At 34.9% G+C, this 23,508-nt stretch overlaps 1 protein-coding gene across 6 annotated transcripts in view; it reads left to right on the top strand.

Moving 5' to 3' along the window:
* The window catches only part of DNAJB4 (DnaJ heat shock protein family (Hsp40) member B4), a 38,790-nt gene extending 19,024 nt beyond the window's left edge, over positions 1-19,766 (top strand). For 3 of the 6 annotated variants that reach the window (NM_001317100.2, NM_001317101.2, NM_001317102.2), the window contains 2 exons: positions 14,853-15,421; positions 17,816-19,766. In NM_001317100.2, the coding sequence (NP_001304029.1) occupies positions 14,853-15,421; positions 17,816-18,049 (803 nt within the window). In that variant the 3' untranslated portion in view covers positions 18,050-19,766. Of the gene's footprint in view, positions 1-6,740; positions 7,124-14,852; positions 15,422-17,815 lie in introns of those variants that run through there. The other 3 variants (NM_001317099.2, NM_007034.5, NM_001317103.2) reach the window with 3 other exon arrangements.
* The last annotated feature ends 3,742 nt before the right edge of the window (positions 19,767-23,508 follow it).

The raw sequence follows: 23,508 nt of genomic DNA on the forward strand, positions 1-23,508 counted from the left end.
CTAAAATAGTGTGTGACACAAAATAAACACTCCATAAATATTTGCTGAGTGATTGAAATACTTTATTTGTGGAAAATGTGCACTATGATAACCACCTTTTTAAACAGTTTGTGTACCCATCAAATACTATAAAATGGACAGTCAGATACTGTTGACAAATTCCAAATATAATGAATCCAAACTACTGTCATTGCCTAAAAAAGGACATTTACAGGTAAGGGGCGTGGGAGAGTAGGATTTCTAAAACAATTTAAGCTTAAATGGATAGGGCTTAATGTCTTAAAGACACTTGCCTTAAGTTTATGTATTTCAGCTTGTAACGTAGATAAGGTAAGAAGTGAATCTCTTTAAAATTTCTCAGCTGAGTGCGGTGGCTCAGACCTGTAATCTCAGCACTTTGGGAGACCAAAATGGGTGGATCGCTTAAGCCCAGGAGTTCTAGACCAGCCTGGGCAACATGGCGAAACCTCATCTGTACTAAAAATAGAAAAATTAGCCAGGCATGGTGGCATGCCTGTGGTCCTAGCTACTCTGGGGGCTGAGGTGGGAAAATGGCTTGAGCTCAGGAGGTCGAGGCTGCAGTGAGCTGAGATTGTGAGATCAGGAACACAATCAGCCTGGGCAACAGAGTGAGATCCTGTCTCTAAATAAATAAATAAATAAATAGATTTTATGGGTCTGTATCTTGGCAACACATACACAATAAATAAAAATTTCCCTATTTTTCCCCTAAAGACAAAGTTGCATTTGTAGCCATCACAAAATTAAAAGGTACTGTAAGTATTATGCTCTGGAACCTTTTCACAGGAATGAGAATTGAGGGTCTGAGTTGCAAACTTACATCAAGCATTTGCTCTATAGCAATCTATGGTAATGATACCTCTTAGTGCTTACTGGTTTTTTAGGAAATTATAGTATGTAGAGGTAAGATATAGTCCGTTATTAAATGGCCAATAATTTGATTTTATATAACTATTTAGATATTATCTTAAAAACAGGTGAAACATTAGGATAGACACAGCCTAGTACCCTCTAGTTTTATGTAAATATTGGAACAGTGTATGTTTAAGAATTGTCAAGAATATCTTAGCTCATTATTAGACTGTAGCTATAGAAAAGCTCTTTGAAATCTTATCACTTGAGTATCAGATGTATGTGAGAAAGCATATGGAAGTATTTTATAAACTGTAAAGTATTATATAAATGTTATTATGGGGAAGGCATAGAACAGGTTTTTTTTTTTTTTAACACTGAGAAGATAGTAAAATTCAGAGATAAAGGTCTGAAAAGGGAACTTGGCAAGAGGCAAGATCTTGGGGGATGCCAGACTCCTTTGGGGGTGAATCTGGTAGTTACTTTAATGCTTTATGCCAAGTAAAACTTCCTGAGTCAAAGGAGACTATTTGTCAATAAACATCCAAGTGGTAGCAAAATAGTTTATATAGCTTAAAATACTGAAAATAATGTATATGTAGATGTCATATAAATTGTAGTGCTGACACATGTACTATCTCATCTGACTCTCACAATAATCTTTGTGAGTTAGGTATTCAGATAATTTAAATGATTCATCTAAGTTACTCACCTGTTAAGTGGGAGAACTGAGATTAGAAACCAAGTATTCAGATTTTTAAGTCTTTATTCTTTTGTACTAGCCCTCTAAGAGGAATTGATAAATAATGGTTTCCCCTAGATAATTTTCAAGTAATTTGGTACGACTGAGATATGTGAGGCATCAACAGATATTAAGGCTGGACAGATCTTCTGATTCCAAAATCAAATATATATACTTTAAGAATATAAATATTGGAACTGAAATACAATGAATGCTACCTATGGGAAGTTTTAATGATTTTAAATTTTAACAAAATCAACATGAATGAGTAGCAAATATTAACTGGAATATTTAGAAATACCAATTGGACAGCTGTGTGTGTATGTGTGAGTGTGTGTGCATGTATGCTTATAAATAAGAACATTTTGTTATGCATATGGTATAGTAATTTTCCTGGAAAAAAAATTTTCAAGTTCATATGAGATCATCATCATGATAAGAGTAGCCAGCACTTTGGTATTCCTCACTACGTGCCAATCACATTTAAGTATCACACATTGATTGCATTTAATCCTCACAACAATCCTAAATTGGTATTAATGTTACCAGCTTAACAGTTAACAGAGTTAACTCTGTTTGACAGATGAGGAAGCTGAGGTCAGAGAGATTTAAGTCCAAGGTCTTACAGCTGTAAGTAGTATTACCAGGATTCTAACCCAGGCACTCCAGCTCCAAAATCTATGCTTTTAACCACTATATTATGAATATTCCCTGGGTGTCACCTCGGCAAATATAATCACTTTTACATACTCTGAGGTTATATATTCAAATATCTAAAGCACTGTTAACAGAGTTTAAAAGAGCCTCAGTTTATTTGCTTATTCTTGGACAGGAATTATTGGGGAATGGAGGTCATAATTTTCTAATATGAATGACTAAGAAATTTCATGGCCAGGCGTGGTGGCTCATGCCTGTAATCCAGCACTTTGGGAGGCCAAGGCGGGTGAATCACGAGGTCAAGAGTTCAAGACCAGCCTGGCCAAGGTGGCAAAACCTCGTCTCTACTAAAAATACAAAAAAATTAGCTGGGCGTGGTGGCACGCACCTGTAATCCCAGCTATTCGGGAGGCTGAAGCAGAGATTTCTTAAAACCCGGGAGGCGGAGGTTGCAGTGAGCCGAGATTGTGCCACTGCACTCTATTCTGGACCAGCCTGGGCGACAGAGCGAGACCCTGTCTCAAAAAAAAAAGAAATTTCAGGGTCCAAGCACCCTGGTTTATGCCTGTAATTCCAGGATCGAAATTTCAAGTACCAAGCACCCTGGTTTATGCCTGTAATCCCAGGATCTTGGGAGGTCAAGGAAGGAGGATTGTTTGAGCTCAGGAGTTGGAGACTAGCCTGGGCAACATAGTGAGACCTGGTCTCTATAAGAAATTAAAATAAGCCAGATGTTGCATTGGCCTGTAGTCCCAGCTACTCGAGAGGCTGAGGCAGCAGGATCACTTGAGCCTAGGAGTTCAAGGGTGCAGTGAGCTATGATTGTGCCACTTCACTGCAGCCTGGGTGACAGAGCAAGCCCCATCTCAAAAAAGAAAAAAAAAAAAAATTTAGGACTAAATATGACCCATTTAAGAATTAAATATTGCCAGGAAAAGTTATTCACAGGTGCGATGGTAAAATATGAGAAGTCATTTGTCCTCCAGCATTTAAGTGATGATCTGAATTTTGATGTAATTTCTTCTGAGACTCATGGCATTTTATCTTCTTCTGTACTATTTTATTATAAACTGAGAAATGATTTGTGAGTTGGAAAAAGAAAACTTGTTTTTTATTATATATGAATAAAGTCAAAGTAGAAGATGAAGATGACATCAACTGAATAACAAATTATACTTTTAGTTTTTTGTGGTTAAAATGCTATCTTAATTTCCATTTTTTAAAAAAATTAGTTTTTAGTAGAGATAAGGTCTCATTATGTTGCCCAGGCTGGTCTTGAACTCCTGAGCTCAAGTGATCCTACTGCCTTGGCCTCCCAAAGTGCTGGGATTACAGGCATGAGCCACCTCACCTGACTGTACTTTTCTTATAATAAAGGGAAGATAATTGTGTTTTCATGGAATAATCTTACCAATGTTTGAGTAGCAAAGTAAAAATTTAAAAATGCAAGTGCTAATTTTTATATCTTTGTTAAAAATGCAGCATTCTTTAGTTTTAAGGGAAAAAATGTATGTCAGTTACTAACTCAAGCTAGTTTTTGTTCTCTTCAAACTTTCCGTCACACATACATGTAAGCTATAACATCATATAAGCAGCATTTATGTGATATCTAAATATTCCATATAGACTATTTCTATGTATTTTTTTGGTTTTATTTTAACCTTTAAAAAAGCTTTTATTTATTTTACTTTTATTAAATAAGCTTTGATCTCAGCTCTTCTCTGTTCCATTTCCCCTACAGGCTACCACTACTCTCCCTTTTACATACTCTTCCTGTTTTTGTCATAATTATTTGCAGGAATGACAATCCCAACCCCTCCCCCAAATTGCCGCATTCATATCATACAAACTTGGATGACCAAGATTTAATGTAAAGTGATCGTATTGTATAATGGATTTTCAACTCCTAGGTAGTAGAGAAGACATCTCAGTCTGAAAAGGTGAATGTAAGGGTAAAATATCTCCAAAATGCTATGTACTTTTAAAGATGATCATCTTGATGCTTTACCCTATTTCATCTATTTGCAATGGGTATATTTGTACATATAATTATTGTCTTTAAATTATTTTCTAAGGATAAATTCCAGGTGTGGTATTTATAGAGCTATTAAAATAATATTTAGTGGCTTTTACTATTGCCAAATGTTTGAATTATTTACAAAGCTTTACAAAGCTATAAGTGTGCAAGTATCTGTTCATTTTACCAAAAGCTAGCCAGATTGTTGTATTAATACAACAATCACGTAATACAACAATCGCGTAAATCACGATTATATTTGCTTTCTTATTAACTTGAAATGTCAAAGTTGAGGTGAATTCTTGCTTTTCAACTTTACAATTACGATTCTTATGTGTGTGTGATATTTAAAGAAATGTGAAAATCCCTTTTCACCCTTTTCAGTGTCTAGGGAGCCAGATTTCTTTCCGTCTGTTAATATATAATACAATTTCTCACAAATATGAAAGACCCGGTCTTCAGGTTCTCTAAAATAATTTACTGTGTCAAGTTTTGATAATATTCCTAGCTCTCTGAAAATGATTGAATCAAATAAGTGTCTATTTTTTTTTTCTGCAAACACTACCCGCCAGAACAATTTCCGGTTGTTAAATAGTAAAGTCACCGTTCCTTTGGTAAGGAATATTTAAAGGAACTCCCTTGGAAATGAATTTTGTAATAGGTGATTTTTATTCTGTTTTTACTCTATGTGATACTGATCCTTGCACTGGATTTCAGTTTGGCAATATGCTTTTTAAAACTGGGAGTCTTAAGGTGACTGGATATTAGCATTTTTCACTAAGTTTTTTGGATTTGAAAGTACCTTTTGATATTATTTCTTGGTGAGGCTAAAAAAATTGATAAATAGCTGACAAACCTCTGTAACCTACAGGTAGGCTAGATCAATGTTATACATTTCTAATGTCATGGTGTTGTTAAAGTAGAGAATTTTGAAGAGTAGAAAATCGTAGCTGTCAAAATGCACAAAGATGAACATTCAGAAAGAATTGCTGAATCATCATTGCTTGGCATATAGAGTAGGCGTTCTCATTTCTTTAAAGGTTAACACATGATTATTACCCTTTATTATATTCTAAACATATATGTACATTTTCTTTTCCTCATAAAGGTTTTCTAACATTTTATTTGGACTGTGTGCAATTCTTCTGACTTTTCTTATTTATCTCTCTAATAGAAATGGGAACATTTTTGAAAAGATGAGAAAACCATACAGGAGATAAAAGATGAGTTATATACATAGAAAATGTCTCATAAATACCTGAAATATGTTATACTTTCAAAAGCAGGCATCAAAAGGGTATATAAATGCTATGATCTAACTTTGTTAACAAAAAATTATAAAACTACAGCAAATAACCATGAAGATTTATAGAAAACAGAATTAGAAGTAAATACAGTAATATTTAACAGGGATTACCTAAAATGATATTATAGGGAGATTTTTAAAAACTTTTTTCTGCGTTTTCCAAAATCTCCAACAATGAATATATATTTATAATTAGGGAAATGTGTTTTTGAAAGAAAAAATATTTCTCATATTACTGCCCCTTAAGTGGCATATCCAAATTTTACATTGATGCAGTTGCAGTTAAGTCTTGTAAGGAACATGAGTATGTACTGTCTGTAACCTGATACTTTGTTCTAGCTTTCCTGCAGCACCACAGTTCTTTAAATAGGGATCCTGTGGGGCGGCTGCAGGGGACGGGGGTTGAGGGGTGGCAGGGACCTCATTCAGTTTTAGTTTAGTTGAAGTAACTAAGTTCAGATACTAAAATTTCAAAAATAAGTATTTGTTTGCCAGAACTATGAACTCATGTATACTAGAAATAACTAGTTAGCTAAAATCATGTTTAAGTCCTTTACTTATTTTAAAATAACGCATTTGAATTTTATTATAGATACTCCCTTAACAATGTGAAACTAGTACACAAACTTTCTGGCGTTTCTGATTGATAGACCCCAGGAATTTTGAAGACGACATAAATTACTTGGAAATCCTAATTTAAACAACCTGCGTTTTGGTATTATATACTTAACAGACAAATAGCTTAAAATTAAAAAATCCCTAAAGTAGAATTGTCGTTCCTTTTATCTGTATATTAACTTTAACTTCTTTTAACATAGGGTGTTTAATGACTGTGATGATTTTCACCTAGTATGGAGTACATAAATATATAGTTGTGACATTCTGTGTTGAAATATTGGCATGTTAACCCATTTGTCCTGTTTAATTAGGAAATAAAGACGGTAGAGCTAGTCGGAAAATGAATAGTTAATCGTGGAGGAGGAGAAAACATAGCTCAGTACTTTGACTAGAGGCAGCTGGGAAAGTGACGTCCTGTAGCATTTGCTGTTCTAGAAAGTACAGAGACACGTAGTGAAAATGGGAGGATCTAGAAGGAGGCTGTCTCCTGTGTAGTGTATATTTATCTGTAAGTGAGCCGTTGGGGAAGGATTGAATACAGAGACGCTGTCTGCTTGCTGCCTTAAGACAGCTAGCTGAATTGCTGATTAACTTTTAAAATACCCAGCTTGGTTTATTTTTCTTAGAATCTGTTGCTAAGACTGGGGACGCTGTTTTCTTTTACAAAGGGAAATCTAAGTTAATTTCAAGGCATTCGAAATGGGGAAAGACTATTATTGCATTTTGGGAATTGAGAAAGGAGCTTCAGATGAAGATATTAAAAAGGCTTACCGAAAACAAGCCCTCAAATTTCATCCGGACAAGAACAAATCTCCTCAGGCAGAGGAAAAATTTAAAGAGGTCGCAGAAGCTTATGAAGTATTGAGTGATCCTAAAAAGAGAGAAATATATGATCAGTTTGGGGAGGAAGGTAAGTATTCTCTGTATATCTTTCTGTCTCTTCAGCTCTGTCTCTTTTTTTTTTTTCTCTCTCTCTGCCAGCCTTTTTCCCCTCTCTCTCAGCTTGTTAAGGTTATCCTTAAATTGGATTCTCAGTCATATCAAAAGTAGAAGGACAAATGTATAATAACAAGGTTTCATCTCTGATCATATGAATGAGTATTGCAGAGCCATGAATGAAATGTCCTTGTTTGCCTTTTTTATTTTAGCATTTTGTATTATACATATTTTATCATTAGACTTACAATGTTAACAATGTATATTTTAAAATAAACCTTGAATTCCCATACCTATTAGTAAATTGTGTCAAAAGTCTTATGAAACCTGTTTCGTTTTCTAATGAATTTTCTGCCAGAACCAATAAAGAGTCTTTAGTCATTTAAAACCTTAAGATTGGCATTTCAGATTCTGAGTAGTTTATAGCTTATTCACAAAAACAAAAAGTAGTTTTTTGCCTTTCTTATAGCAAGGCTAGTTTAGACTGAACAAGACAGAGTTGTGACTCTCAGAAGCAGAAGGCGCAGGCATTTAGCTTCTAGTTGTTTTTGGCATTCTGCCTGGAGAGGAAAGAATTTTCCTGATGTCATAAAATACCAGAACAAGTTTTTAGCTTAATTGTAAACAATAATTTTGTGCCAAGAAAATGAAATCTCAGAAATACAATTTTTGACCTAAAATGGCCACCTAGTTAGAATAATTACTGATTTACTTTTAGATAACATTATTTATTTAGAAATTTTACTATCTAGGTATAGAGAAAAACATGACAACTTCCCTTTCCTCTCCCTGCCATACTTTTGTTTTTTGCATTGTGAGATCAAAAACTAGTGAGCACAGTAAAGGAGGATAATTTCAGATTATCCTTTTCTCATTCTGCATTTTAAATCAGGTTTGTCCATCACTTCCATATAAACGGGGCTATGAAGTAAGACTATTTTAAATTGCTAATTGATAACACAAAAAACTTTAACTTGTACTGTTTTGGGGATTTTCAACTTTTAACATCAGGACTAAGTTATTTTATTATTAGTTTTTCTCCCAAAATACTGGCTTTCAAATCACTGTAGCTATGAAAACTTGTTATCCCTTTGATTCCTTTATTACATTTAACATCAAATTTTCCTAATTAGAAATATATCCTTAAAATATAGTCAAGCAGTGACTGCTTATTTTGAATGAAACAAATTAAATGTAGACAAGCAGGGTGATTGTATATAGAGGGTTTTTTCCTTTTTGTTTTGTTTAGCTTTTTTGGTCTATGAGTTGCCCAAAATTGAAGTTTATGTTGCAGGTTTTGGTGTGGTGAGGACCTACAGTGTCAGGTTCTTACAAAGTAAATATTGAAAAAGGCAAATACTGGGCAGTTCAATCTTGCATGATACCTATGGCCATATTACCCAAAATATCATGACTTGGTTTATCTCAAAAGCTAAGCAGGATTCTGAGATACTACCAATAATGTACTACTATTTCTAAAGGAGTAATTTTGTAATTTTGTAAAGAAATTCACAAACATGGAATGACACTGTGAATTCCTGTGAAAAAGCAGATATCCACTGCTTTGTATTTAAAATATTTTGCAACAATTCACTGATAGCTCAAGTTTGTGGCTAAGCCATTGGATCCAGGGTTTAGTAAGGATATTTGTCTTCAGAATTTTCAAGTCACCAAATGATACATTTTTCTTGATTTAACATTATCTCTTAATAGTGCTTTTCTAGAGTGATTTTTCTCATTTAATTTTTATTGGTCATTACACAATGAGTGAATTTTTTAAAAACTAAATCACCCTGAATCTGTATACCCTGGGTTTTTTTTTTTAACTTACATAATTGATATAAGTGATAGAAGGAAAGAGTGAGGAGAGAATGCCTTTTTTAAAACATAGAAATATATTATGCAGAAATACCATTCTCTAGTTATAGGTTACTTGAAAATACAATTGAATGGGCCAGGCGCCGTGGCTCATGCCTGTAATTCCAACACTTTGGGAGGCCGAGACAGGCGATCACCTGAGGTCAGGAGTTCGAGACCAGCCTGGCCAACATGGTGAAACCCTGTCTCTACTAAAAATACAAAAATTAGCTAGGTGTGGTGGCAGACACCTCTAATCCCAGCTACTTGGAAGGGTGAGGTAGGAGAATCACTTGAACCCAAGAGGCAGAGGTTGCAGTGAGCCGAGATCGAGCCACTGCACTTCAGCCTGGGCGACAGAGCGAGACCTCATCTCAAAAAAAGAAAAGGAAAAAAAGAAAATACAATTGAATGAAAGTTATTTGAATTATTTTTTAGAATTATTCTTCCTTCACAGGAAAGTATTATATTTGTTTGCCGTTTATTCAGAATATCTCATTTATTCTATTAAAAAATCCCATTTAGATACACTGTGAAAGTAGGGGAAAACATTTTTTCTCTTTGCCTTTTATTTATCTCCAGACGTGGTTCCATAGGTGTCTCCAGTAGTAACAAAACACTGAACTTTAGGACTATGGAAACACTATTAATTTACCTGGTATCCTTCTTCCCGCTCCCCCCAAGTTATTACAGTCTTGGGACTTAGAGCTGGGATGGTGGGAATAAGGAACCATAAACTGAAAAGTATGTAAGTTGCATATGCTAAATTTATGTATTTAGGAGTGAAAGAACCAGTAATCCAGAACACAGTATATTTGTGTTCTGAATATTCACAATTTAAAATGCTTTGTTTTAAAAACAGTTGGCTAGCTGGGTGAGGTGGCATATGCCTGTAGTCTCAGCTAATAGGGAGGCTGAGGCTGAAGGATTGCTTGAGCCCAAGAGTTTGAGTCCAGCCTTTGCAACATAGCAAGACCCTACCTCTAGAAAAAGCAAAGGAAAGAAAAAAAATACGGATAACTCAAATTTACTTTTAGGAATCTATAAAAGGGAAACAAAAACATGTCCACACAAAGACATGTACCTGAATGCTTATAGCAGCATTATTTATAATAGCCCCAAACTGGAAACAATCTGAAAGCACCATAAATTGGTGAATTAAACAAAATGTGCTATATACATTCAATGAGGAACTATTTAGCAATAAAAGGACCAATTTGTGAAACATGCTACACCATTGATGAACCTCAGAAACTATGCTAAATTAAAGAAGCCAGATGTAAAAGACTATATATTGTATGATTTTATTTATGTGAAATGTCTGGAAAAGGCCAGTATATAGAAAAAGAAAGCAGATCTTTCTTGCCTAGGACTTGAGGTGGGAGCGGGGATTAGCTACAAATAAGAACTAGAGAATTCTTTGGAATGATGGAAATGTTCTATAACTGGATTGTGATGATGGTTATACAGCTCTATCAATTTACTATAATCAATTGAATTGTATTTGTACAATAGGTTAATTTTATATATGTAATAAATCTTTTTAAAAATAAAATTTCTCTATAGTTGAATCATTTGAAAACAAAAACCACAGAACTACAGAAATTTAAAATTGGATTCTGAACCACTCTCTAAAGTTTTAGGTTTAGTCTTGAATAGTTTAGTGGATGTCAACAAAAATTTGTGTTAAGAGATTTAAAAGAAAAGATTTTCAATAACACATCCTCATTTATTCTAGTTTTCTAATTTTTCTTTTTTTATGCTTTCCTTATTTTGTTATTGCATATGATTTATTCAGTAACTTCAAATATTAAAAGGTAGTGTTTAAATGATAAAACTTGTATTTATTAATCTTTATACTAGTTCTCTTCTGTTCTTTAACTTATATATTTAGCTAGCTGGATTTTTTTTAATTCACTGTGTGTTCTAAAAACATGTAAGTAAATTTGATTTTTGTGAATTAAAACTGTTTAAAAAATCTCAGAATCTCATTATTTGATAACTGAAGTCTTGCTGTAAATCTGGATTTTTACATATTAGATCTCCTTGGATGGAGTAAGAGTTATTAAAGTATTATCATGTTTTTTTCTTTGCAATCTGAATTTTTCTCCAGTGTTTCTTCTTTTGGAAACTTTTAGTCAACCTTAACTAATTAGTGGGAATCATTGTTATAGATAGTATTCCAAACACATATTTGGTTTGGGACTGCAAACTGGTTGACTGGTTAGTTGTAAAATAATAGCAGTCTTGCTAAATCATAGGCAAATGTTGCTTCTCTGGTGCGTTTTTTGATCACACAAAGTGATGACGATGTCTAGAAAACATTTTGAATAGCAGAGGGAATCCAATTGGATATTAAACATTTCCATTAGCGTTCAAAATGTACATGATTAAGAACTGACCATATAGTTAATGTGACATTACTTATAATTTTATGTGCTAGACAATGCAAGTGATACTTGCATAATAATGTATATTAAAGTGGCATGAATTTTGGTAGGATTTTTTTCTTTTTTTTGTTGTTTTTGAGACAGAATCAGTCTCCTGAGTAGCTGGGATTACAGGCGTGCGCCACCACGCCTGGCTAATTTTTGTATTTTTAGTAGAGACGAGGTTTCACCATGTTGGTCAGGCTGATCTCGAACTCCAGACCTCATGCTCCACCCACCTTGGCCTCCCAAAGTTCTGGGATTATAGGTGTGAGCCACTGTGCCCAGCCTAGGATTTTTTTCATTCATTAGAGTAGCTTCGTTCTTTGTCTGAGCTGCATAGTTGACTGTTTAATAGTGTCTAGGAAAACCTCAAAGCTGCATTGGAGTCTTTTTATCAGCTTTGGTAAGTTACTTCAGACTTTGTATGAATCTTCTCAGAGACTTTGTAATTATGACCGAATTGCCCTTTTTGGCAGAGGAGGAAGAGGTTTTCCAGAAAGCCAAACCCATGATGTAATAAATTAAAACATTATTCTTTCTTTTCATGAATTCATTATGGGTGCAAGTATTTAAATTTTGTCTTATAAGAGGCTAGATTGGGCAGGCTGATTTACCCAGTTTACTTAACTCAGTTAAATAATTATACTCCCTTAAGTCTATGGGATGAAGGATAAAATTATTTAAATAATTTAAGCATTGGTTGAGTCACTTTGGTCATGACCTTGAGCTACATATTATTCTATCATTAAAAAAAAAATCTGCCATTACCTTTTTAACATTTGGAGTTATAATTATACTACTAAAATTTATAAAAGGGAAATTTGGATGAGCTGCTTATGAAAAGATCTTGTCCTGCTTATACTTGTCATTCTACAAGGAATTTCCCTAACTGCTATTTGGATATATTGTTCAATACATATTTTGGCAATTTTCAGATTATTAGGTCTCTCTTGATCTCTCCAGATTTCTATTCATGGATGAAGGTAAAAATTTTAGATATCACTTGAGACCCTGTTAGATGAAATAGAGTAGATATATACCTTTTAATGGAAGAAGCCAAATGCAGAATAAGACGTAAGCAAAACTAAGTTTCTTTAAAGTATGCTGTGTGTTAGTGGCATTTTAAATTGTTAAATCTCTCATATATGTATATGTGTGATTATATTTTACATTGTTTTTGCTTCTGCCTTTTTCTCTGTACCGATACTCAAGACACCTTTTTTAGTTTTGATTTAGAAGGACTTTAGGAATTAGTTCATTCCCTTCATTCACTAAGCATGAATACCTACCATTTTCAGCCCTGTATGCATGAGCAGTGCAAAATAAATATATTTCCTGCCTTCAAATCACTCACTGTTTGGAGATATTAGAATCTCCTAGCTTAATCTGTTGGATTTTTCATAGTTTTATGATTTTTAGATTCTTTTCCTGCTTGTTTCTTGATCTGTATTGACCCCTTAAAAGATCACCATACTGTTGTTTTTTGAGTTTTAGTAGAACATTTCTTTCATAGTGGAAAATGTTGTTTCAAATATAATCTTTTGTGGGTTAAATATTACTTAGTGGAACCCTTAAGCAAAGGGTCAAAAAGTCACTATATTGTTGCCTGAGGTGGACTGTTCACAAGAGACAGAAATAACCCATATAGAGGCCTTACGTGTCAAAGTTTACAGCTCTTGATTTCAGTCTTCTTACAAGCATTGAAATTAATGCTAAGATGTGATATGCCTAAAAAATTTGGTATCTAGAGTAGGAATGACAATCGTAGTGTCTAAAAAACCATTTTTCATAGAATGTCCTCATTATTAGAATTTTTTTCACTCTCTGACACAGAGTTCTATTTTAATTCTTTTTTTTTTTTTTTTGAGATGGAGTTTTGCTCCTGTTGCCCAGGCCGGAGTGCAATGGTGCAGTCTTGGCTCACTGTAACCTCTGCCTCCCAGGTTCAAGCGATTCTCCTGCCTCAGCCTCCCAAGTAGCTGGGATTATAGGCATGTGCCACCATGCCCAGCTAATTTTGTATTTATAGTAGAGACGGGGTTTCACCATGTAGACCAGGCTGGTCTCGAACTCCTGATCTCAAGTGATCCACCCGACTCGGCCTCCCAAAGTGCTGGGATTACAGGTGTGAGCCACTGCACCTGGCCCTATTTTAATTCCTAAACAGTAAAAGATGATCTGAAATAAAACTAGTTAGAATGAATATGGTATTTTTATTACATTATATTTTTACATATTTCTATTTTATTTATATATAAACAGTATGAATATGGTATTTTATATTTTGCTATATATTTTATTAATATATTTATATTTTTAAATGTTATATATATTGTTTGATTGTAATAAAAATTAAAGATTTAAGTTCTGCACTTTGTGTTGATTGCTGAAGACCTTCCAACTGACATCTTTTAAAAACTTATATATTTATAAGTAGATACTTATATAATTTATATACTTCAGCATGCCAGATCAGTAGTTTATAAGGAGTTCCCAGTTTTATTTTCTTTTTCTTTTCTTTTCTTTTTTTTTTTTTTTTTTTTTGAGACAGAGTCTCACACTGTTGCCCGGGCTGGTGTGCAGTGGTGCGATCTCAGCTCGCTGCAACTTCTGCCTCCCAGGTTCAAGTGATTCTCCTGCCTCAGCCTCCTGAGTAGCTAGTATTACAGGCACCTGCCACCACACCTGGCTAATTTTTTGTATTTTTAGTGGAGGCGGGGTTTCACTGTGTTGGCCAGGCTGGTCTCAAACTCCTGACCTCATGATCTGCTTGCCTCGGCCTCCCAAAGTGTTGGGATTACAGGCATGAGCCTCTGCGCCCGGCCTTATTTTATTTTTCTTACTTACCCGTGGAACAAAGAATCAGGAATAAATATTAGAGATGCTGATTTGGCCGGAAGCAGTGGCTCACACTTGTAATTTCAGCACTTTGGGAGGCCAAGGCAGGCAGATCACCTGAGGTTGGGAGTTCGAGACCAGCCTGACCAACATGAAGAAACCTCGTCTCTACTAAAAATACAAAATTAGCCGGGCGTGGTGGCACATGCCTGTAATCCCAGCTACTCGGGAGGCTGAGGCAGGAGAATTGTTTGAACCTGGGAGGCGGAGGTTGCGGTGAGCCAAGATTGCGCCATTGCACTCCAGCCTGGGCAAACAAGAGCGAAACTCTGTCTCAAAAACACAAACAAACAAAAATGCTGATTTGGAGGAAGAATTTGAAAACTTAACAATTTAACTTAGGATGTAATCATCAAGAGTTTTATAGCTGTTCTGTATTTAGTAAAGTGGCATTTCTGGCCAATATTAATACATTTTAATGTAAGTTAGCCAAAATTTATTAGCAATACAGTTTTTGAAAGTTTAACTTTTAAGAGTTGCAAGCTTTTTTCTAATCATGCTTATCTCTTCAATTAGGGTTGAAAGGAGGAGCAGGAGGTACTGATGGACAAGGAGGTACCTTCCGGTACACCTTTCATGGCGATCCTCATGCTACATTTGCTGCATTTTTCGGAGGGTCCAACCCCTTTGAAATTTTCTTTGGAAGACGAATGGGTGGTGGTAGAGATTCTGAAGAAATGGAAATAGATGGTGATCCTTTTAGTGCCTTTGGTTTCAGCATGAATGGATATCCAAGAGACAGGAATTCTGTGGGGCCATCCCGCCTCAAACAAGATCCTCCAGTTATTCATGAACTTAGAGTATCACTTGAAGAGATATATAGTGGTTGTACCAAACGGATGAAGATTTCTCGAAAAAGGCTAAACGCTGATGGAAGGAGTTACAGATCTGAGGACAAAATTCTTACCATTGAGATTAAAAAAGGGTGGAAAGAAGGCACCAAAATTACTTTTCCAAGAGAAGGAGATGAAACACCAAATAGTATTCCAGCAGACATTGTTTTTATCATTAAAGACAAAGATCATCCAAAATTTAAAAGGGATGGATCAAATATAATTTATACTGCTAAAATTAGTTTACGAGAGGTAAGTTGGTAGGACCTAAAATCCTAAGACCAAATAATTATGTAGTTGATCATAGGGAGTGTATCTAGATAATAGCTAACATTTATTTAATGCCTATTATACGTTAAAAATAATTACTATAAAAATCCTCTAAGATAGTACTAGTATTATACCTCTTTTATGGATGTGATTATATTTTCTAACTTTAGTTACTTATAATTAAAGTGTCAAGTGTTAACTGGATTATGTACTATGAGGCTGCTTTTACAAATGTGGTTTATGAGATCTGCATTGGTAATCTCAACACATTAGTCTTTGTATATAGGGTTTGTTCTAAATTTGTTAATATGGAGTAATAATTGCATACCAAAAAAGATTAGAAGAAAATAATTTATAATTCACTACAAATTTGTATACATTTATATTAATAAAAAATACATTTATAAGTGCATATAAATATATACATTTATAAATTATAATGCTACTATGTTAATACAATTATTATTTGAGTTCTTATTTGCACTATTTCTTTTTTTTTTTTGAGACAGAGTCTTGCTCTGTCACCCACAGCGCAATCTCGGCTCACTGCAACCTCTGCCTCCGGGTTCAAGTGATTCTCTTGCCTCGGCCTCCTAAGTAGCTGGGATTACAGGCGCCCCCCACCACACCTGGCTAATTTTTGTATTTTTAGTAGACACAGGGTTTTACCATGTTGGCCAGGCTGGTCTTGAATTCCTGACCTCAGGTGATCCACTTGCCTTGGCCTCCCAAAGTGCTAGGATTACAGGCATGAGCCACCACGCCTGGCCTATTTGTACTATTTCTCAAATTGGATTGTAACTTTGCAAATATGGTCATAGCAGTTCCCTGCTTCAAATTCTTAAATTGCTCTATATAACCTCTACCATAAAGTCCAAACTCTTTAGCTTAAAATAAGTCATTTTAAATCTGATGTCTACCCATAAAATGTATATGCACTTCCCCAAGTTTGCTCTATTATTATTATTATTATTTTTTTGAGATGGAGTCTCGCTCTGTCACCCATGCTGGAGTGCAGTGGCACAATCTCAGCTAGTACTGCAGCCTCCACCTCCCAGGTTCAAGTAATTCTCCTGCCTCAGGTTCCTGAGTAGCTGGGATTACAGGTGCCCGCCACCATGCCCAGCTGATTTTCATATTTTTAGTAGCGATAGGTTTTCACCATGTTGGCCAGGCTCGTCTTGAACTCTTGACCTCAAGTAATCCGCCCACCTCGGCCTCCCAAAGTGCTGGGACTATAGGCATGAGCCACCGCACCTGGCCCAGTTTGCTCTATTATTATCTTGTATACTTGAGCTGTACTCTATGGAACACTATTGTTTCTTACCCTGCTCTAATACCTACCTGCTACTGCCCAATGCTTAGTTCAAGCATCCTCTACTCCCGGAATCTAAGGGGTTAAGTTGGGTGCTCTTTCTCTTACAAAAGACCTCCATGCTTACCTCTGTTCTTACACTATACAGTATTATAATGGCTAGTTTGCTTCTATGTTTCTGTGAGTTCCTTGTGCATTCCTTGAGCTGGGGTCTGTGTTCATGGTCCCTATAAGGCTCACCATCTAGCCAGAATGTGTGGCATATAGTAAATGCTCAGTAAACATTTGTTATCTAAAACAAATATATTTCTTGTCCTAATACTTTCCAGAGAAATAGTTGCTCCTATCCAGTTCTTTCTAGTCCTGAATTTCTCCCTCTTCTCCCATTCCAATCCCTGCATCTTGAATATATTAATAGCAGCTTCAAAATAACCATGTCATTCCAGGGCAATGTGGAATATATCCTTTACTTCTCTTTTACCTTTTCTTTTCTTCTTCTTTTTTTTTTTTTTTTGTAACATATCTAATAATGCATGTCCTGAAGGAATTTTCCTTTTTTTCTTTTCTTTTCTTTTTCTTTTTCTTTCTTTCTTTCTTCTTTTTTTTTTTTTTTTTTGAGACAGTTTTGCTCTTGTTGCCCAGGCTGGAGTGCAATGGCACGATCTCGGCTCACTGCAACCTCCGCCTGCTGAGTTCAAGTGATTCTCCTGCCTCAGCTTCCCGAGTAGCTGGGATTACAGGCATGTGCCACCACGCTCGCCTAATTTTGTATTTTTAGTAGAGACAAGATTTCTCCATGTTGGTGAGGCTGGTCTTGAACTCCTGACCTCAGGTGATCTGCCCGCCTTGGCCTCCCAAAATGTTGAGATTACAGGTGTGAGCCACCGTGCCTGACCTCTGAAGGAATTTTCTAATGAGGAAAAAAAATTTATAACTATTGTTATTCTTTTGGAGGTTAAAGTTTTACCTTAGTGGTATTATCCTTTACCATCTGGTAAAATTTGTGCTTAGATTTTTGAGTTTTGAAGTGTTTTCATTTTATTTTATTTGGTCCATTTTAGGCATTGTGTGGCTGCTCAATTAATGTACCAACACTGGATGGAAGAAACATACCTATGTCAGTAAATGATATTGTGAAACCCGGAATGAGGAGAAGAATTATTGGATATGGGCTGCCATTTCCAAAAAATCCTGACCAACGTGGTGACCTTCTAATAGAATTTGAGGTGTCCTTCCCAGATACTATATCTTCTTCATCCAAAGAAGTACTTAGGAAACATCTTCCTGCCTCATAGAATGAAGAACTTTGTTACACATATTTTGATAAGGCACTGAAAATATAAAAGGACTGGTAGTTTACTGATGTAGATGTGAATTCTGTATAAAGATGTGTAAATTCTTTTGAGGGTTCATTAAATTGCATGAATAGAGACGGGTCAAATAAATAGGCAAAAGGGATTTTTACAGTTAGAGATAAAAGAGAAAACCATTCACTGTATTTTATTTCATTTCTCCTGATTCAGATATTTTTAGTAATTTGCTTATATGTAAAAGTTGTTTTTGTGGAGTCAGTGGATATATTTCTAATGAAGTGCTAGACTATCCAATTACTTAATTTCTTATACCTTTAGATAATCAGTATGAAAAGTTCCCATTTATAATGGAAATGAAAATTCTTAACTAAACTATACATGTAATATGTATTTCTAGAAGAGAATAAAAACCCAAGTCAGTTATTAGATTTAAATCACCTTCTGAAATGCTGCTATAGGGCTGGTATCTGTAAAAGAATATCCTGATGCATCTGTTTCACCATTTTGATTTTTAAAGTATGCTGTAGCATTTCTTAATAACATCGTTGTGATGTTCTTAAGGCAGATCTTTCTTCATAAAAAGGAAAGTAATGGCAATTTCTCTCCTGTGGAAATCCCAATTGCTTGAATTACTGATATTTTAGAATAGACTTTTTAAAATGCCATATGTAATTTTATGCAAGTTGACTATATATCTTGTACTTAATAAATTATAGGCTCATTTTGTTCTCTGCTAGTTTAAAGTAATTCGTTTAATAATAGATGTGTTTTTAGAGGAAATGCTGTTACTTGGAATTAATTTTCCAGTTATACAGTCTTCTATAACTTACTAATAATATTCTATATGTACTTTATGTAATTTCCCTAAAAAGAATGAACTACCACTACACTATGGTGTTAAACCAAAATATAGGGAAAATAAACACTAACTGCTGCTTATGGATAATGTTGCAACTACTTGTTATGCATATAAATATTTTACTTTTTCACATGTATAGATTGCATTTCTTAGGTGTTTTAATTTTTTAAATATATTTATGTTTTAAAAATTTAGTTTTGTTTTCTGTTTTATAACTATAGTGAGAATGATGTTTTGAAGCAAAATTTTTGGTTATAAAATAGTTTTCAGGATTATATATATATATACTGGATCCTATCGCCTTTTAGTAGAATATGAAATATTCTTTTAGAAATCCAATATAAATAGGTTATAATAGCCATATTCTTTATTACTTTATTGAGATATAATTTACATGCCATAAAGTTTACCCTTAAAATATATAATTCAGTGGTTTTTAGTGATATTTACAAAGTGGTACAATCATCATCACTTTCTAATTCCAGAATATTTTCATCACCCCAAAAAGAAATCCTAAATCCATTAGCAGTTACTTCCCATTCTTCCCTTCCTCCAGCCCCTGAAAACACTACCATCTACTTTTCATCTGTATGGATTTGTCTGTTCTGGACATTTCACATAAATAGACTCAAACAATATATGGCTTTTTTTTTTTTTGGTCTGGCCTCTTTCATTTAGCTTAATGTTTTCAAGGTTCATCTATGTTGTATCACGTATCAGTACTTTATTTTTTGTGTGGCACGTCATATGGATATACCACAATTTGTTTATCTTTTCATTAATTATGGGCATTTGGCTTATTTCTACTTTTTTGGCTATTATAAATAATGCTGCTGTGAACATTTGTGTGCAAGTTTTTGTGTTTCAATTCTCATGGGTATATACCTAAAAGTGGAATTTCTGGGAGTAACCATATATTTGAGTTGCAAATGGAAAATGCTTGAAAAAAATGCCACAGAATTCAGCTAATCGTATTTATTACTCTAATTCATAAATGATTCCTCTATAACTGTCTCTCTGAATGACAGTTAAAACTCCCTACAGAAGTGTGAACATTACAGAAATTTTCTCACAAGTCTAAAGATCTAGATCTGAAAAGCATCAGTCAACGTGGTGAATGATAGTGGTTTCTGTTTTAAACCCATCATTATTTATTGCAATTTTCTTGATTAAGCATTTTCTCCCAGGTAAAATAAATGATTTATAGATAGATATATAATAATCTTTGGATTAAAAAGTTTTTTTAAGCAGAGAATTATTATTCTAGTAGTAAATAAATTTACATAACTACACAAAACCAGTATACCAGTATCTCTCTTATCTTAAAGGATATTGACAATGCTTTAGCATGTAGTAACTGCTCAGTTTTTATGTGTTGAATGTTGAATTAAAAGTAGTAATGAGTAGAGTTTTAAAGTTTTTTAATTTATTTTTTCAAATTATGAGAGTACTTTTTATTTTAAAATGTTTTCTTTAAATTCAACCAGGTTCTTGGATAGCCGGAATAGTTTTGAAGTACTATAGATCCCATAAAGAAGATGTTTATCTTCCCTAAAAGAAAAACCACAAATTGCTTATGTTAAAAAAAAAAAAAAAAGAAGAAGACGACGAAGGCCAGGCACTGTGGCTTATGCCTGTAATCCCAGCACTTGGGGAGGCTGAGGCAGGGGAAAATCAAAACTTGAGTCCAGGAGTTTGAAACCAGCCTGGGCAACATAGTAAGACTCCATCTCTACAAAAAATTTAAAAATTAGCTGAGCCTGGTAGCATGTGCTGTAATCCCAACTACTTGGGAGGCTGAGGTGGGAGGATTACTTGAGCCCAGGAGGTAGAGGCTGTAGTGAGCCCTGATTGCACCACTGCACTCAGCCTGGGTGACAGAGTGAGACCCTCTCTCAAAAACAAAAACAAAAAACAAGTATAAGCCAAGGTGATTAATGGCCTGCTAATAGAGGTATTTTGTTTGGCCAGCTCAGTGGTTTAAAAACTATTTTTTAATTAGAATGCTTTTAGGCAAGACATGGACTCTTCTGTTGCCACTGACCTACCATTATCTATTGCGTTACATAAAGCTGCTTCACATGTTTAGTTATGTTGCCTGGGCCTCTGAAAGCATCTGAGTTAGTCACATCTACTGTAGCTCATCACTCCTGCCTATTGTTAGCCTTCCTTGGAGACAAGGAGTTGAAAATACTCTTGTTTGTTTATTTTTGGGAAACTGTCATTCAAATAGTTATGATGGATAAAGGAAATTAATATATGTGATTAGACTCAGTAAATGGCTCAGAAGGGACTATCTTCATATTCCAAGGACTATTTACATAACCTCAAAGAGTTAAGACTAAATATCATTCTTAATCTAAAAATAATTTTTATCTACTAACGTGTAATGTAGTATACTGCCTATATGTCTGACTTCATGTATACATGGTTTATTTTTTACCCTTTATGGAGAAGTATAGAAAAAAAATGTGGTATGTTACTTTCAAATAATAGCTTAATCAAAATGTGAGTAAATAGATGAAGTTTTATAGAGTAAATATTTCAACCTTTTAAATTTTTTTGTGATACTTCATAAAATTCATAAAACATTTGGAGCTGGAAATAATTTTTAAAATCCCATTTTCTAGATAAAGAAGTAAACCCAGAGAGGCTAAGTGGCTTGTCTGTAGTTAAAGAGCAGGTTTGATGTATTCGAAACTCTTCTGGTCATTAAAAAATAAAAGAAAAAAAAAAAAGGAGAGCAGGCTGGGTGCAGTGGTTCATGCCTGTAATCCCAGCACTTTGGGAGGCCGAGGCAGATGGATCACTTGAGGCTAGGAGTTCGAGACCAGCCTGGTCTACATAGTGAAACCCCCTCTGTACTAAAAATACAAAAATTAGCCGGGCATGGTGGCAAGCACCTGTAATCGCAGCTACTTGGGAGGCTAAGGCAGGAGAATCGCTTGAACCTGGGAGGTGGAGGTTGCAATGAGCTGACATCATGCCACTGCACTCCAGCCTGGGCAACGTGGCAGAGGGAGACTGTCTCAAAAAAAGGAAGCTGGAAAGGGAATTCTTATTCTCAGTGCCATTTTTCTCCAGTATGCCATTGATATCCCCTGTTTCTCAATTTCCAAGACTAGATTAAATTCTTTTACAGCTCATTTGCTGGCCAAGTGTGGTGGCTCACACCTATAATACTAGCACTTTGGGAGGCTAAGGCAGAAGGATTGCTTGAGCCTAGGTATTCAAGACCAGCCTGGGCAACATAGCAAGACTCCATTTAAATATTAAAAAGAAAAGTTCATTTGCCTATTTATTTATGTAGTCTGTGTAATTTAGCATATACATTTGAAATATATTCGGTCATTTAGGAACATACAAAGTTATAATTTGGTGCTCACTAGAAAGCTTTTGAAACATTAATTACAAAAACAGGCTTTTTCTTTTTAAGGATATTAATAGAAGTAATAGTCCATAATTGGGCTGTGTCCTTCATTAGTTTACAAATATATATGCCAATGTTATTCTCAAAATAGTGTAAGGCCACATCTGAGCAAAAAACAAGCATATTATTTTAATTTACATAAATAACAAATGAAGATTTTTACAAGTAAAATACTATTCAAATATTAAATTATATCATTGTAAAAAGAAAAGGAGAGAGAGGAAAGAAAAAAGGCGAGAGAAAAAGAAGGGGGGAAGAAAGGAAGAAAAAAACCCTGCAGATTTTATTGAGAAGAAAAGTTTGTAATGACAAATAACATACGGAATCTCTACAAACATTTGCAAATATTGTAACTCCTCCCAAACTAAAAATTCGTTAGTACATCTTCTCTCCAGCCGTTAGAATTTTGGTTTGTATAAACTTAGTTCTTGAAGTTTTTTTTTTATACTTTAAGTTCTAGGGTACATGTGCACAATGTGCAGGTTTGTTACATATGTATACATGTGCCATGTTGGTGTGCTGCACCCATTAACTCGTCATTTACATTAGGTATATCTCCCAGTGCTATCCCTCCCCCCTCCCCCCAACCCACAACAGGCCCTGGTGTGTGATGTTCCCCTTCCTGTGTCCAGGTGTTCTCATTGTTCAATTCCCACCTATGAGTGAGAACATGCGGTGTTTGGTTTTTTGTCCTAGTTTGCTGAGAATGATGGTTTCCAGCTTCATCCATGTCCCTACAAAGGACATGAACTCATCCTTTTTTATGGCTGCATAGTATTCCATGGTATATATGTGCCACATTTTCTTAATCTAGTGAGTTTTTTTTTTTTTTAAGGCATGGTGGTGTGGCCAGAGCGCAGTAGTGCAATCTGGGCTCACTGCAGCCTCGACCTCCCAGGCTCAAGTCAATCCTCTCACTTCAGCCTCCCCTGAGTGACTGGGATTACAGGCGTGCCCCTCCATGCCTGGCTAATTTTTGTATTTTTTGTAGAGATGGAGTTTCACCATGTTGCCCAGGCTGAGCCATTATTAATTGAGATAATTTTAAGAAGAGGAAACCAGAGGTTGGAAAAAAGGAAATGAGAGTAAAGCGAATGGTTGAGGAAGATGAGAAATTTTTGATGCAGACTTACACATAAGAAATAAAGCCAA

This window comes from Homo sapiens, chromosome 1 (genome assembly GCF_000001405.40).
Source record: "Homo sapiens chromosome 1, GRCh38.p14 Primary Assembly".
Taxonomy (NCBI): Eukaryota; Metazoa; Chordata; class Mammalia; order Primates; family Hominidae; genus Homo; species Homo sapiens.